Genomic DNA, 14,058 nt, shown 5'->3' with positions numbered 1-14,058 from the left:
ATTTTAAAAGCAGTAGGTCCACCCAGCAATGGCAAACTACATTCGTTTCAAGTGCATATGGAACGTTCACCAAAATAGAAGATGTTATGGGCCATAAAACAAATTTTACTAAATGTAAAAGAACTGAGGTCATAGAAGGTATATTCTCTTGCCAATGGAATTAAACTAGAAATCAATAACAGAAAGATAATAGGAAAATCTCCAAACACTTGAAAATTAAATCACACACTTCTAAATAATCCATGGATCAAAGAGCAAGTCTCCAAGAAAATTAGAAAATATTTTGAACTGCACGGAAACATATACAACATATTAAAATTTGCAAGAAAGAGAAGGGAAACCATCCCAGAAACAGGGTTTTCAAAAGTTAAGAAAAACAATTATTAGAAGAATTTAACCTGAATTTAGAATTTCCTTTTTAAATTGCTTTGTATATGATTGTCAGATAAGCTGTTTTGACTTAATTGAATGAATAAGTAGTTATCTCAGTCTCACCTTAAGGTTAGAACTAGGAACAGCAAAGCAGACAACATGAATCACTAAGGGTTTTTTGTTTGCTTTGCTTTATTTAGGAAAAGAACACTAGAACTTATACAATTTAACAAAACAGGTCTTACTATATAGAAAAAGCAAAAATATAAATTGTCATGTTTCTACATATAATGACCTCAGCTACATTTAATACGTAACTATCAATAACAATGAACTAACATCTTTTTTTTTTCTTTTAGGGACCCAGAGGTGAAAAGGGCTTTAGAGGTGAAACTGTAAGTTTAACTAAATTTGTGATTATAGTAACCCTGACACTAGGCTATAAGCTCCATGAAAGCAAGGACCCTGTTAGAGTTATCCATTATTATGTCTCTGATACTTGTAGAATAAAAATAAAATTGCAGTTGTCAGGAAGTAGAATTAACCGATGCAGTAAAAGAGACTTAGACTCACACAATAATAATGGGAGACTTTAACACCCCACTGTCAATATTAGACAGATCAATGAGACAGAAAATTAACAAAGATATCCAGGACTTGAACTCAGCTCTGGACCAAGCGGACCTAATAGACATCTGCAGAACTCTCCACCCCAAATCAACAGAATATACATTCTTCTCAGCACCACATCCCACTTATTCTAAAATTGACCACATAATTGGAAGTGAAACACTCCTCAGCAAATGTAAAAGAACAGAAATCACAACAAACTGTCTCTCAGACAACACTGCAATCAAAATAGAACTCAGGTTTAAGAATCTCACTCAAAACTGCACAACGACATGGAAACTGAACAACCTGCTTCTGAATGACTACTGGGTACCTAACGAAATAAAGGCAGAAATAAAGATGTTCTTTGAAACCAATGAGAACAAAGACACAATGTACCAGAATCTCTGGGATACATTTAAAGCAGTGTATAGAGGGAAATTTATAGCACTAAATGCCCACGAGAGAAAGCAGGAAAGATCTAAGATTGACACCCTAACATCACAATTAAAAGAACTAGAGAAGCAAGAGCAAACAAATTCAAAAGCTAGCAGAAGGCAAGAAGTAACTAAGATCAGAGCAGAACTGAAAGAGATAGACACCAAAAAACCCTTCAAGAAATCAATGAATCCAGGAGCTGGTATTTTGAAGCGATCAACAAAATTGATAGACCGCTAGCAAGACTAATAAAGAAGAAAAGAGAGAAGAATCAAACAGATGCAATAAAAAATGATAAAGGGAATATCACCACCAATCCCACAGAAATACAAACCACTAACAGAGAATACTATAAGCACCTCTATGCAAATAAACTAGAAAATCTAAAAGAAATGGATAAATTCCTGGACACATACACCCTCTCAAGACTAAACCAGGAAGAAGTTGAATCTCTGAATAGACCAATAACAAGCTCTGAAATTGAGGCAATAATTAATAGCTTACCAACCAAAACAAAGTCCAGGACCAAACATATTCACAGCCGAATTCTACTAGAGGTACAAGGAGGAGCTGGTACCATTTCTTCTGAAACTATTCCGATCAATAGAAAACGAAGAAATCCTCCCTAACTCATTTTATGAGGCCAGCATCATCCTGATACTAAAGCCCGGCAGAGACACAACAAAAAAAGAGAATTTTAGGCCAATATCCCTGATGAACATCAATGCAAAAATCCTCAATAAAATACTGGCAAACCAAATCCAGCAGTACATCAAAAAGCTTACCCACCACGATCAAGTCGCCTTCATTCCTGGGATGCAAGGCTCGTTCAACATACGCAAATTAATAAGCATAATCCGTCACATAAACAGAAACAAAGACGAAAACCACATGATTATCTCAATAGATGCAGAAAATGCCTTCGACAAAATTCAACAGCCTTTCATGCCAAAACTCTCAGTAAACCAGATATCAGTGGAACATATCTCAACATAATAAGAGCTATTTATGACAAACCCACAGCCAATATCATACTGAATAGGCAAAAACTGGAAGCATTCCCTTTGAAAACTGCCACAAGACAAGGATACCCTCTCTCACCACTCCTAGTCAACATGGTGTTGGAAGTTCTGGCCAGGGAAATCAGGCAAGAGAAAGAAATAAAGGGTATTCAAATAGGAAGAGAGGAAGTCAAATTGTCTCCATTAGCAGATGACATGATTATATATTTAGAAAACCCCATCATCTCAGCCCCAAATCTCCTTAAGCTGATAAGCAACTTCAGCAAAGTCTCAGGATACAAAATCATTGTGCAAAAATCACAAGCATTCCTATACACCAATAACAGACAAATAGAGAGCCAAATCATGAGTGAACTCCCATTCACAATAGCTACTAAGAGAATAAAATACCTAGGAATCCAACTTACAAGGGATGTGAAGGACCTCTTCAAGGAGAACTACAAACCACTACTCAAGGAAATAAGATAGGACACAAACAAATGGAAAAACATTCCATGCTCATGAATAGGAAGAATCAATATCGTCAAAATGGCCATACTGCCTAAAGTAATTTATAGATTCAATGCTATCCCCATCAAGCTACCAATGACTTACTTCACAGAATTGGAAAAAACTACTTCAAACTTCATATGAAACCAAAAAAGAGCCCACATAGCCAAGACAATCCTGGGCAAGAAGAATAAAGCTGGAGTCATCACACTACCTGACTTCAAACTTTACTGCAAGACGGTAGTAACCAAAACAGCATGGTACTGTTACCAAAACAGATATATAGACCAATGGAACAGAACGGAGGCCTCAGAAATAACACCACACATCTACCACCATCTGATGTTTGACAAACCTGACACACACAAGCAATGTAGAAAAGATTCCCTATTTAATAAATGGTGCTGGGAAAACTGGCTTGCCATATGCAGAAAACTGAAACTGGACCCCTTCCTTACACCTTATACAAAAATCCACTCAAGATGGATCAAAGACTTAAATGTAAGACCTAGGACCATAAAAATCCTAGAAGAAAACCTGGGCAATACCATTCAGGACATAGGCATGGGCAAAGACTTCATCTCTGAAACACCAAAAGCAATGACAACAAAAGCCAAAATTGACAAATGGGATCTAATTAAACTAAAGAGCTTCTGCACAGCAAAAGAAACTATCATCAGAGTGAATAGGCAACCTACAGAATGGTAGAAAATTTTTGCAGTCTATCCATCTGACAAAGGGCTAATATCCAGAATCTACAAAGAACTTAAACAAATTTATAAGAAAAAACAAACAACCCCATCAAAAAATGGGCAAAGGATATGAACAGACCCTTCTCAAAAGAAGACATTTATGCAGCCAACAGACATGTGAAAAAATGCTCATCATCACTGGTCATTAGAGAAATGCAAATCAAAACCACAATGAGACACCATCTCACACCAGTTAGAATGGCGATCATTAAAAAGTCAGGCTATTGTGAATAACGCCGCAATAAACATACGTGTGCATGTGTCTTTATAGCAGCAAGATTTATAGTCATTTGGGTATATACCCAGTAATGGGATGGCTGGGTCAAATGGTATTTCTAGTTCTAGATCCCTGAGGAATCGCCACACTGACTTCCACAATGGTTGAACTAGTTTACAGTCCCACCAACAGTGTAAAAGTGTTCCTATTTCTCCACATCCTCTCCAGCACCTGTTGTTTCCTGACTTTTTAATGATTGCCATTCTAACTGGTGTGAGATGGTATCTCATTGTAGTTTTGATTTGCATTTCTCTGATGGCCAGTGATGATGAATGTCCAACAATGATAGACTGGATTAAGAAAATGTGGCACATATACACCATGGAATACTATGCAGCCATAAAAAATGATGAGTTCATGTCCTTTGTAGGGACATGGATGAAATTGGAAATCATCATTCTCAGTAAACTATCGCAAGAACAAAAAACCAAACACCACATATTCTCACTCATAGGTGGGAATTGAACAATGAGATCACATGGACACAGGAAGGGGAATATCACACTCTGGGGACTGTGGTGGGGTGGGGGTACGGGGGAGGGATAGCATTGGGAGATATACCTAATGCTAGATGACGAGTTAGTGGGTGCAGCGCACCAGCATGGCACATGTATACATATGTAACTAACCTGCACAATGTGCACATGTACCCTAAAACTTAAAGTATAATAAAAATAAATAAATAAATAAATAAATAAATAAAAAAGTCAGGCAACAACAGATGCTGGAGAGGTTGTGGAGAAATAGGAACGCTTTTACACTGTTGGAGGGAGTGTAAATTAGTTCAACCATTGTGGAAGACAGTGTGGCGATTCCTCAAGGATCTAGAACTAGAAATACCATTTGACCCAGCAATCCCATTACTGGGCATATACCCAAAGGATTATAAATCATTCTACAATAAAGACACATGCACACGTATGTTTATTGCAGCACTATTCACAATAGCAAATACTGGGAACCAACCCAAATGTCCATCAGTAGTAGACTGGATTAAGAAAATGTGGCACATATACACCATCGAATACTATGCAGCCATAAAAAAGGATGAATTCATGTTCTTTGCAGGGACCTGGATGAAGCTGGAAACCATCATTCTCAGCAAACTATCACAAGATCAGAAAACCAAACACCACATGTTCTCACTCATAATTGGGAGTTGAAAAATGAGAACACATGGACACAGGGAGAGGAACATCACACACCGGGGCCTGTCGGGGGTCGGAGGCTAGGTGAGGGATAACATTAGGAGAAATACCTAATGTAGGTGATGGGTTGATAGGTGCAGCAAACCACCATGGCACGAATATACCTATGCAACAAACCTGCACGTTCTGCACATGTAACCCAGAACTTAAAGTATAATAATAATAATTTAAAAACCCTATGTGGTAGATTGCAGTGAAATCTGATAAACCCTAAAGATGTTTAAGAACCCGCCAATCACTTCTTCCCGGATCACTGTGTGAAATGGATTATTTGCCTTGCCAGGCATCAGGAGATGGGATATGGGTTTTCTTCACCAGTGGCAGAACAAAGGGACTGCCAATTCGCTTTAGGCATATACCCACTATGTCCAGTCAGCACCAAAGAGATCTGCAATGCAGAGGCAAATCATTAGTTGCATATCAGCCAGTTAGAGACAATGATGAGAGGATGGGCAAAAGGTACACAGCACTTTTGTGACCAAAGTAGCTTATACTGGCCCTACTTCCCTCATTTCTAGGATGCCAATTCTTCCATGCTAAAGAAGATGTGTTGTAAAGGGGCCACTTCTTCAGCAGAGATCATGCTAAGCTTATTTTTTAATAAGTTTTTTATTGTATAGATTTAACATGATGTTATAGGATACATATAGATAGTAAAAAGGTTATTTATAAGCAAGTAATTTGATTATAAGTAATTTTTTAAGCAAATTAACATATTCATCTCACATGATTACCCATCCTTTTGTTTTTTTTTTATTGCAAGAGAAGCTAACATCTACTCACTTAGCATGTGATCCATGCCAAACTTATTAAAGCAGCACCATAAACAGAGGACAGACATGGAATAAAATGAGGGAGATTGAAACCAAGTACATAAGGCCCATGAGAATAAACTTAAATATAGCAGTAAAGTCTTGATTAGAAGGTAATGAGATTACATAGTCACAGCTGAGATTTTTTTTTTTCTCATCTTAGGGTATGCTTGAGACTCAGAATAATTAAGTTGCAGTTATATTAACTAGCTAAAAAGGAGAAATTATGTTATTTCAGATAGCCTAAGAATCACAAAAGGATATTTAAATCGATGTGTTCAATTTGTAGAAATGTGATCCTCACCTTTTCTCAGCAGATTTATTGTAACAGGAAGCAAGAGCATATGTACACAGTGAAGCTATATTTCCAAGGAAGAGTGAAAGAGGGAAGGGAAAAGCAGAGAGACTTGGAATTAGCCCATGTTCCATATCAGTGTGGCTCTGCATGCCTCCCCAGTATCCTCTCCAAGTACTGTGGCTGGGACATAGTTTCCATCAGGATTAGGAAGCCTGAAGTACCTATGGCAATGTCACAAGCATTTCACATGAAAAAAAAATTGAGTGGCTCTGTGATGGATTACAAATGCAATAGATTAGGACTGCCATCTTAGGTTGTAGTGATAGAAATATGGCATGCAGTATAAAGCAGGTAGTGGTACCAGTCATGCTATCCCCAAAGAAAACATGGACAACATTAAAGCACATTCAGAGAAGGGGAAGGATCTGGGGGAACCTATGTCCTGGTAGGACCAGTTGAAATATCTGGGATGGTTAGCCTCTACCAGATTCTGCAGCCTGATTACATCTCTCTCCTTGTTCTTTCTTCTCTCGTCGCACTTCCTGGCTTTTGTACCTGTTATTTCTCTACCATACCCTTTATGTATGGTAGAGAGCTCCTGCTGATCTTGACATTTTGATTTAATGAACATTTCTCGGGGCAGGCATGCTAATGTTTTGACCCCACCCTACTCCCACCCTGGACATAATACCTAGCCCTCAGGACCTAGTACAATGCCTGGCACGTGTTCTTCAGTTTTGTACTTAAATGTCCTCTTATCCTGACTAGCCTGTGTGAATAGCAGTGCCCCCACCTTCCTGAGACGCCTTATATTCCTTCTACCTGTGCCTCTACCAACTGACATAGTACATATTTATTTGTTTTTTGTTGTTATTATATTTTTCCTCACTAGAATGTAGCCTTGAAGACACAAACATTTTAACTGTTGATTTTTGTTTTAATGCTGTGTCCCTCACACCTGGCAGTGCCTCTCTTATAGTTGGCATTCAATAAATATTTAATGAATTATTGGTAAATGAATTAGACAAAATTGAGGTGTTGGAACATAATAGTTGTCTTCAAATATTTGAAAGGTTATCTTATATAAGAGAGGATAGATACAATATGAGTAACTCTAGAGGATAAAATTTAAAAGACTTATTTATTGAATTGTTTGAATTTATTGAATTCTGTGCTCAGCTCCCTGAGAGAAAGTGAGCTCCATGAAGGCATGAAATATATTAGATACCACCTAGTACCTACCTACCATCGTTGTTACCACCTAGTACCCAGTCTATTATAGCACCGGATACATAATTAACACAATAAAAACTTAGTGACAAAGTTAATAGGATACTGAGGCTAATTTCAGCTCCATGTAATAATGAGCTGTCTAATATAATAATGAAAACTACACAAAAAGATCATTTTGCAAGGTAATAACTACCTTTCACCAAAGCCTACTGACCATCTCCCCAAGTTACTGGACTGGTATTCCTGCACTGAGTAGGGAATTAGAAGAGATACCCATAAAGTTCTTTCCAGATCTGAATATGTGTGATTCTACATAAAAGAAAAAGAAATAAGCCCTCCCCCCGCACAAAAGAACTAACAAAGCCATAGAACATAAAGAGTTCTTTAGAGATTAATTCCCATCAGCTGTAAATCCTATTCTCAATCCATCTCTCATTCTTCCTCACTGGCATCCTTGTGCAGGTGATCATGATATCCCTCCTGGACTCCCGGTTTCTTGTCGTTTCTTCCACTTTTCCCCCACTACGATCTATTCTCTACATAGCAAATAGAGTGATATTATTAAAGAATAAATCAAATTATATCATTCTCCTCTTTAAACACCTCCCTATGACTTCTTCTTGCACTTAGAATAAAATCTAAGCTTCCTTGCCTTGATTTACAAGGCCCTACATGAACTGGCCCCTGTTTGCCTCTCCAGTGTCCTGATGTACCATTTTCCACCTGCCACCTACACTAACCTCCTTTCTATTCTTAGGAATATGCCTTTTTTTAACCTAGGAAATTCTTTCATATACTCTTCAAATGACTAATTTTATCTCAATATTCAGGTCTCTGCTCAAATACCATCTTAAAGAAGTCTTCTCAGACCATTCTGTCTCATCATTTCCGGTCATTCTCTTTCACTGTATCTTGTTTTGTTTTCTTCATAATAGCACTCATTGCAATTATTTCCTGTCCCCTCCACTAGAATGTAAACTTCATGAGAGTAGGGAACTTTGTGTGGTACACAGGTTATCAGTGTCTAGAACAGAACTTGCCATGTAATAGGTAATAGTTGATAAATGAATAATATGCCCTAAAATTAAAAAGTGAAACACTATTTCCAGTTCTAGCCTGGTAAAGTAGCATTTCCTGAATTAACATGCTTTTTAGAGTTTTTAGTCTGTGGGTTATCATGCTTCTCTTCATAAATAAGGTGCAAACTTCCAGTACCCAAGGGAGATGGGAAATAGGCACAGTGGCATTTAGAGTAGGCAACTAAATATGCTGTTTAAAAAAAAAAAGGATTAACTGGCACATTACAATTATGAGTTTATTCTGTTTTATTGTTGAGTAACTGATAACTGATACTAAATACCTTTTTAATCACTTCTTTTCCTTTGATTCCATTATAATTTAAGGAGCTTTATAAAGTTAATCTTTTAATTCCTGGAGATCATTCTGCAATTATCATAATCCATAAAATGTGCCGTTAAACCTTTTCTCCTTTGTTTTATGGAAAAGCTTGGTAACATTTCTTACACTTTTCATTGGGAATTTTTCAGTACATTCTACCAGTTTGTTTTCTTTAAGGAGGCAGTTTAAATAATTGACTGGCTAAAGACGCCTAATTGGTTACTGTCTTTCAGAATGTAATACATTCGCGGAGGTCATTCTCAGAAAATGCTAGTAAATGGTGCATTTTTGGAATGGATTTTATTAGCTAAGACCTATTGTATTGAGACAAGTAAGAGACTTAAGTCTTTGCACAAAGATCAGAATCACAACAATCTATCAAATTGGTTTGTCAATCTTATTATTATTATTATTATTATTATTATTATTGAGACGGAGTCTCACTCTGTCACCCAGGCTGGAGTGCAGTGGCGCAGTCTTGGCTCACTGCAAGCTCCACCTCCCAGGTTCAAGCGATTCTCCTGCCTCGGCCTCCTGAGTAGCTGGGACTACAGGCGCCCATCACCACACCCGGCTAATTTTTTGTATTTTTAGTAGAAACGAGGTTTCACTGTGTTAGCCAGGATGGTTTGATCTCCTGACCTCGTGATCTGCCCGCCTCAGCCTCCCAAAGTTCTGGGATTACAGGCGTGAGCCATCACGCTGGGCCTCAATCTTATTTTAAAATTTTCCATGGAGGAAAATTTATTAAACTATGAATTTATTAAACTGTGCTCTCCTTACCAAGTTTTATACCTAAATATAACCAAAAAAATGACCAAAGCATGATTCAGTGACTTTAAAAAAATGCAAATAAGTTTATAGCTCATTATACAATACATGAAAAGTAACTCCTTTATTATAATTTGGGTTTCTTGATTAGAAAACTTCATGTCTTCTGTAATTTAACATTGTAAACTCTAGTATTGATCCCAAGTAGGTCCTTTCCACCACTGAGAGAGCTGATTCTGTATGGCCATTTATGAAAGAGTTATTTTTCTTTCTGTTCTATACTTGCTCCCGGTCTGCCTGCCTATGGACTGTTTTTAAAATGAGTCCCTAGATTCATATATATTTTCTTTTTCTTTTTCTTTCTTTCTTTCTTTTTTTTTTTTTTTTTTTTTTGAGACAGAGTCTTGTTCTGTTGCATAGGCTGGAGTGCAGTGGCAAGATCTCAGCTCACTGCAACCTCCACCTTCTGGTTCAAGTGATTCCCGTGCTTCAGCCTCCTGAGTAGCTGGGATTACAGGCATCCAGCACCACACCCAGCTAATTTTTTTCCTATTTTTTTGTAGAAACGGGATTTCACCATGTTGCCCAGGCCAGTCTTGAACTCCTGGCCTCAGATGATCTGCCCACCTCAGCCTCCCAAAGTGCTGGGATTAGAGGCATAAGCCACCGCACCCAGTCCTATTCATATATATATATTCTAAACAGAGCCAGAGTTTTATGGCATCCTAAGGAAACCTAGCAGATAACATGTAGAATTCTCTACTCTTCCTCTACTTCAAAACTGTTGTGTTACTGCCAAATAAATCCTGAAAGTTTACAAAATTTCCTACTTTCTATGAGACCTGAAACACTTAAAACACAACTGAGTAAATTTCAGAGTAAGTAATGCAAAGACGACTGCTGGAAATAATGGGATACAATTAGTAAAAATTTAACTTAAGTAAAATTCTAAGTAAAATTTTAACTTATAGCAGAAATGATATCCTAGTGTCAGATATCGGCAAAGGATTTTTTTTCTTTCTTGACAGAGTCTTGCTCTGTCACCCAGGCTGGCATGCAGTGGTGCAGCCATAGCTCACTGGAGCCTCGAACTCCTGGGCTCAGGCAATCCTCCCACCTCAGCCTCTCAAATAGCTAGGACTACAGGTGCGTGTCATTGCACTTGGCTAATTTATTTATTTATTTATTTATTTATTTATTTAATGATTTTTTTTTTTTCGGTAGAGACAGTGTCTCCCAGTGTTGCCCAGGCTGGCCTCGAACCCTGGCCCCACGTGATTCTTCTGGCCTCTGCCTCCCAAAGCCCCAGAATTACAGGCATGAGTCACTATACCTGACCTGAAAATAATTTTGACAAAATGTAACAACTTGAATCATATAACTTACAGCTATAGAAATAATAAAAAAAAACAGAGAACAATCTCAGCATGAATTTTCAGATTAGCTGCTTCATATTTATAATATACTATTTAATGAAATCATAAAATATTGAAACATCCCATTGACATTTTCTCTAATATTATCTCTAAGTTAATATGTCTTCACAGTTCTTGATTAGCAGTTGTCTTATTTGCCTCCAATTTGAAAGTGAGAAGGATGGTTTCTGCATTAGAAGGAAAAACTAGGATATGGGAAATAGGTCCTAAATATTAACACAGTAAGCATTTAAAGCATATATATGTATGTATTTCTTTTTAAAATTCATAAATAGTATAAATCATTCATTTAAAAGTATCAAACTTTTTAAATTCAAGAACACTTACCATTACATTTGTACAGACTTTAAATTTTAAATTCCCAATCTGTATGCTTGTGTACACCTTCTTTATCCAGATAAAAAACATGAGGTAGGTCATGCAGAAGCACATGCCTGTGGTACCAGCTACTCAGGGATCCTAAAGCAGAAGAATTGCTTGAGCCCAGGAGTTCAAAGCCAGCTTGGGTAGCATAGCAAGACTCCCGTCTTTAAAGAAAATTTAAAAATTAAAAAAACACACATCAGGAAGAAAATTGATAAAAGTCTTGAAAATCATAATTCTAAAGTGAACCTTGGAGATTATCTTCACTAGACCTATTATATTACAATTTAGATATCTGAGGTCCAAATGTGCAGCAGTTCACTTAAGACCATATAGCAAATTAAGTTACAAAGACAAAACCAGAGCCCAGATTCCCAATTCCTATATGATTGTGTTTTTCTATAAATTATAGTGCCTTTCAGAAAAAGAGGGTTAGGAGGTCTTGGTAAGGAATATGGTGTGTGTGTGTGTGTGTGTGTGTGTGTGTGTGTGTGTGTGTGTGTGTGTATCCTCCACCTAGATCAAGAGTAGCCCAGCTGTCACCCGCATGACAACTTGAAGAGTTTATGTTCTTATTTGCAGTCACGCCCTATGACTTGTGGTGCTCACTCATTCCATTCTAATTACATTACTATCTAGTTAATCTTATTTAATATTACTAAATTCTCCTTTCAAACCAATGAATCTCAACCAGGAGCCATTTGTCCCCCTACCACCCTAGGAGACAATTGGGGGAAAAGAATGAGATGTCAGTGGCATCTAGTGGGTAGAAGCTAGGGATGCTGCTAAACATCCTACAATGGAAGCTCCTCAGTTTATAAATGAGAAAAGGAAGCTCTGTGCAACTGAGCCAGCCTAAAATAAAGATCATGAAGCTAAATCAAGATTGCATTTACATAAGGGAAATGACATAAAGGAAATGACATTAGGAAATGAAATAAAAGAATTTACAAAAAGGAAGACTAACATACTCAAGTTTAAGGATATGCACTTACACGTATTTTTAAAGTATACTGATAAAATATGTTACTTTTGGAGGATCGTATGTAAATTCTGGGATAAAGTGAAAAGAGAATCTTGTTTTCATAGGAAGTGTTTTTACTATAGCCAAATAACCACCATAACCATTCAGAGTAATTTGGTTCCCCTTTAGAAAATTAACATAGACGGCCAGGCACAGTGGCTCATGCCTGTAATCCCAGCACTTTGGGAGGCCAACGCAGGTGGATCACTTGAGGCCAGGAGTTTGAGACCAGCCTGGCCAACATGATGAAACCCCATGTCTACTAAAAATACAAAAAAAATTAGCCAGGAGTGGTGGCGCACGCCTGTAGTCCCAGCTACTCGGAAGGCTGAGGCAGGAGAATGACTTGAACCTGGGAGGCAGAGATTGCAGTGAGCCGAGATCGCACCACTGCACTCCAGCCTGGGAAACAGAGCGAAACTACGTCTCAAAAAAAAAAAAAAAAAGAAAGTAAAAGAAAATTAACAGAGACAATCATGGTGTTGTTATAAACTACTTTACTTACTTAATTTTATTTTTTGGAGACAGAGTCTCACTCTGTCACCCAGGCTGGAGTGCAGTGGCGTGATCTTGGTTCACTCCAACCTCTGCTTCCCGGGTTCAAGCAATTCTTGTGCCTCAGCCTCCCGAGTAGCTAGGACTACAGGAGTGCACCACCATACCCGGCTAATTTTTTTGTATTTTAGTAGAGATGGGGTTTCACTATGTTGCCCAGGCTGGTCTCAAACTCCTGAGCTCAGGCAATCCGCTGGCCTTGACCTCCCAAAGTACTGGAATTACAGGTGTGAGCCACCATGCCTGGCCTATAAACAGCTTTATATAGAATAGACAGTGAATCACTTCACCTTAATGGTGTATTAGCTAGAGTAATAAAAAAGAACTAATAAAATGTTATATTGTTGGAATCATATTTTTTTAACTTGGCTACTTTCCCTATTCTATGTGGTTACATTGGAGTTGCCCTGCCCTATCCTGGTGGGTTTGAAGTATTTTGTTTGATCATATTTGTGATCTGACTTGTTCTGAATAATAAGCTGAAGTGAACTTTATAAAATCAGCAGTAGAAATTGTTTCTTATTTTTCTATGATAAATTCCTCTTTTGAAGTCAAAGGTAACATATGTATTTTGTACTGAACCATCAGTGATATTTTCCAAATGTCAAAAACTTGCTAAGTGGAATGGACTATTGCAACTGTTTATTATTTTTACATTGTTGATCCAAAATGGAGAAGCGGACATAACCAATTTCACTTTGAGCTTCTGTATATTTAAAAGGCTATCTCCAATGTGACATTTCTGTCAGCTACCCTGCAGCTTCTGAGATATATGCATTGGTTGATAATTAAATGAATGGATGATGTTAAAATTAACTAGTATTAACTAGTATTAATTTTGACTAGTATTAAAATTAACTGGTATTAATTTTAACATCATTCATTCATTTAATTATGTACAAGTTTTGTACATTCTCTGCTTAAACTTGTAATCATAAACCAGATAAACTGAGACATGTCTAGCAGGCACAGTGTTGGAGTACTCTGATCTTTTCAAGTTA

The 14,058-nt window shown here is 37.4% G+C and overlaps 1 protein-coding gene across 19 annotated transcripts in view; it reads left to right on the top strand.

Moving 5' to 3' along the window:
• Window positions 1-14,058, top strand: part of COL24A1 (collagen type XXIV alpha 1 chain) — a 427,752-nt gene that overhangs the window by 380,544 nt on the left and 33,150 nt on the right. For 17 of the 19 annotated variants that reach the window (NR_146341.2, NR_146342.2, NR_146343.1 and 14 more), the window contains one exon: window positions 732-767. The exons of the other annotated variants lie outside the window; for them this stretch is intronic. Coding sequence is in view for 13 of the 17 variants with exons in the window: in XM_047417004.1 (XP_047272960.1) it covers window positions 732-767 (36 nt within the window). In the remaining 4 variants the exon portion in view is untranslated. The remainder of the gene's footprint in view (window positions 1-731; window positions 768-14,058) is intronic. 19 annotated transcript variants of the gene reach the window in all.

The sequence above is a fragment of the Homo sapiens genome, chromosome 1 (genome assembly GCF_000001405.40).
Source record: "Homo sapiens chromosome 1, GRCh38.p14 Primary Assembly".
In the NCBI taxonomy this organism is placed as follows: domain Eukaryota; kingdom Metazoa; phylum Chordata; class Mammalia; order Primates; family Hominidae; genus Homo; species Homo sapiens.
The sequence above is the reverse complement of the archived record's forward strand: the minus strand, read 5'-3'. Positions and strand labels throughout refer to the sequence as shown.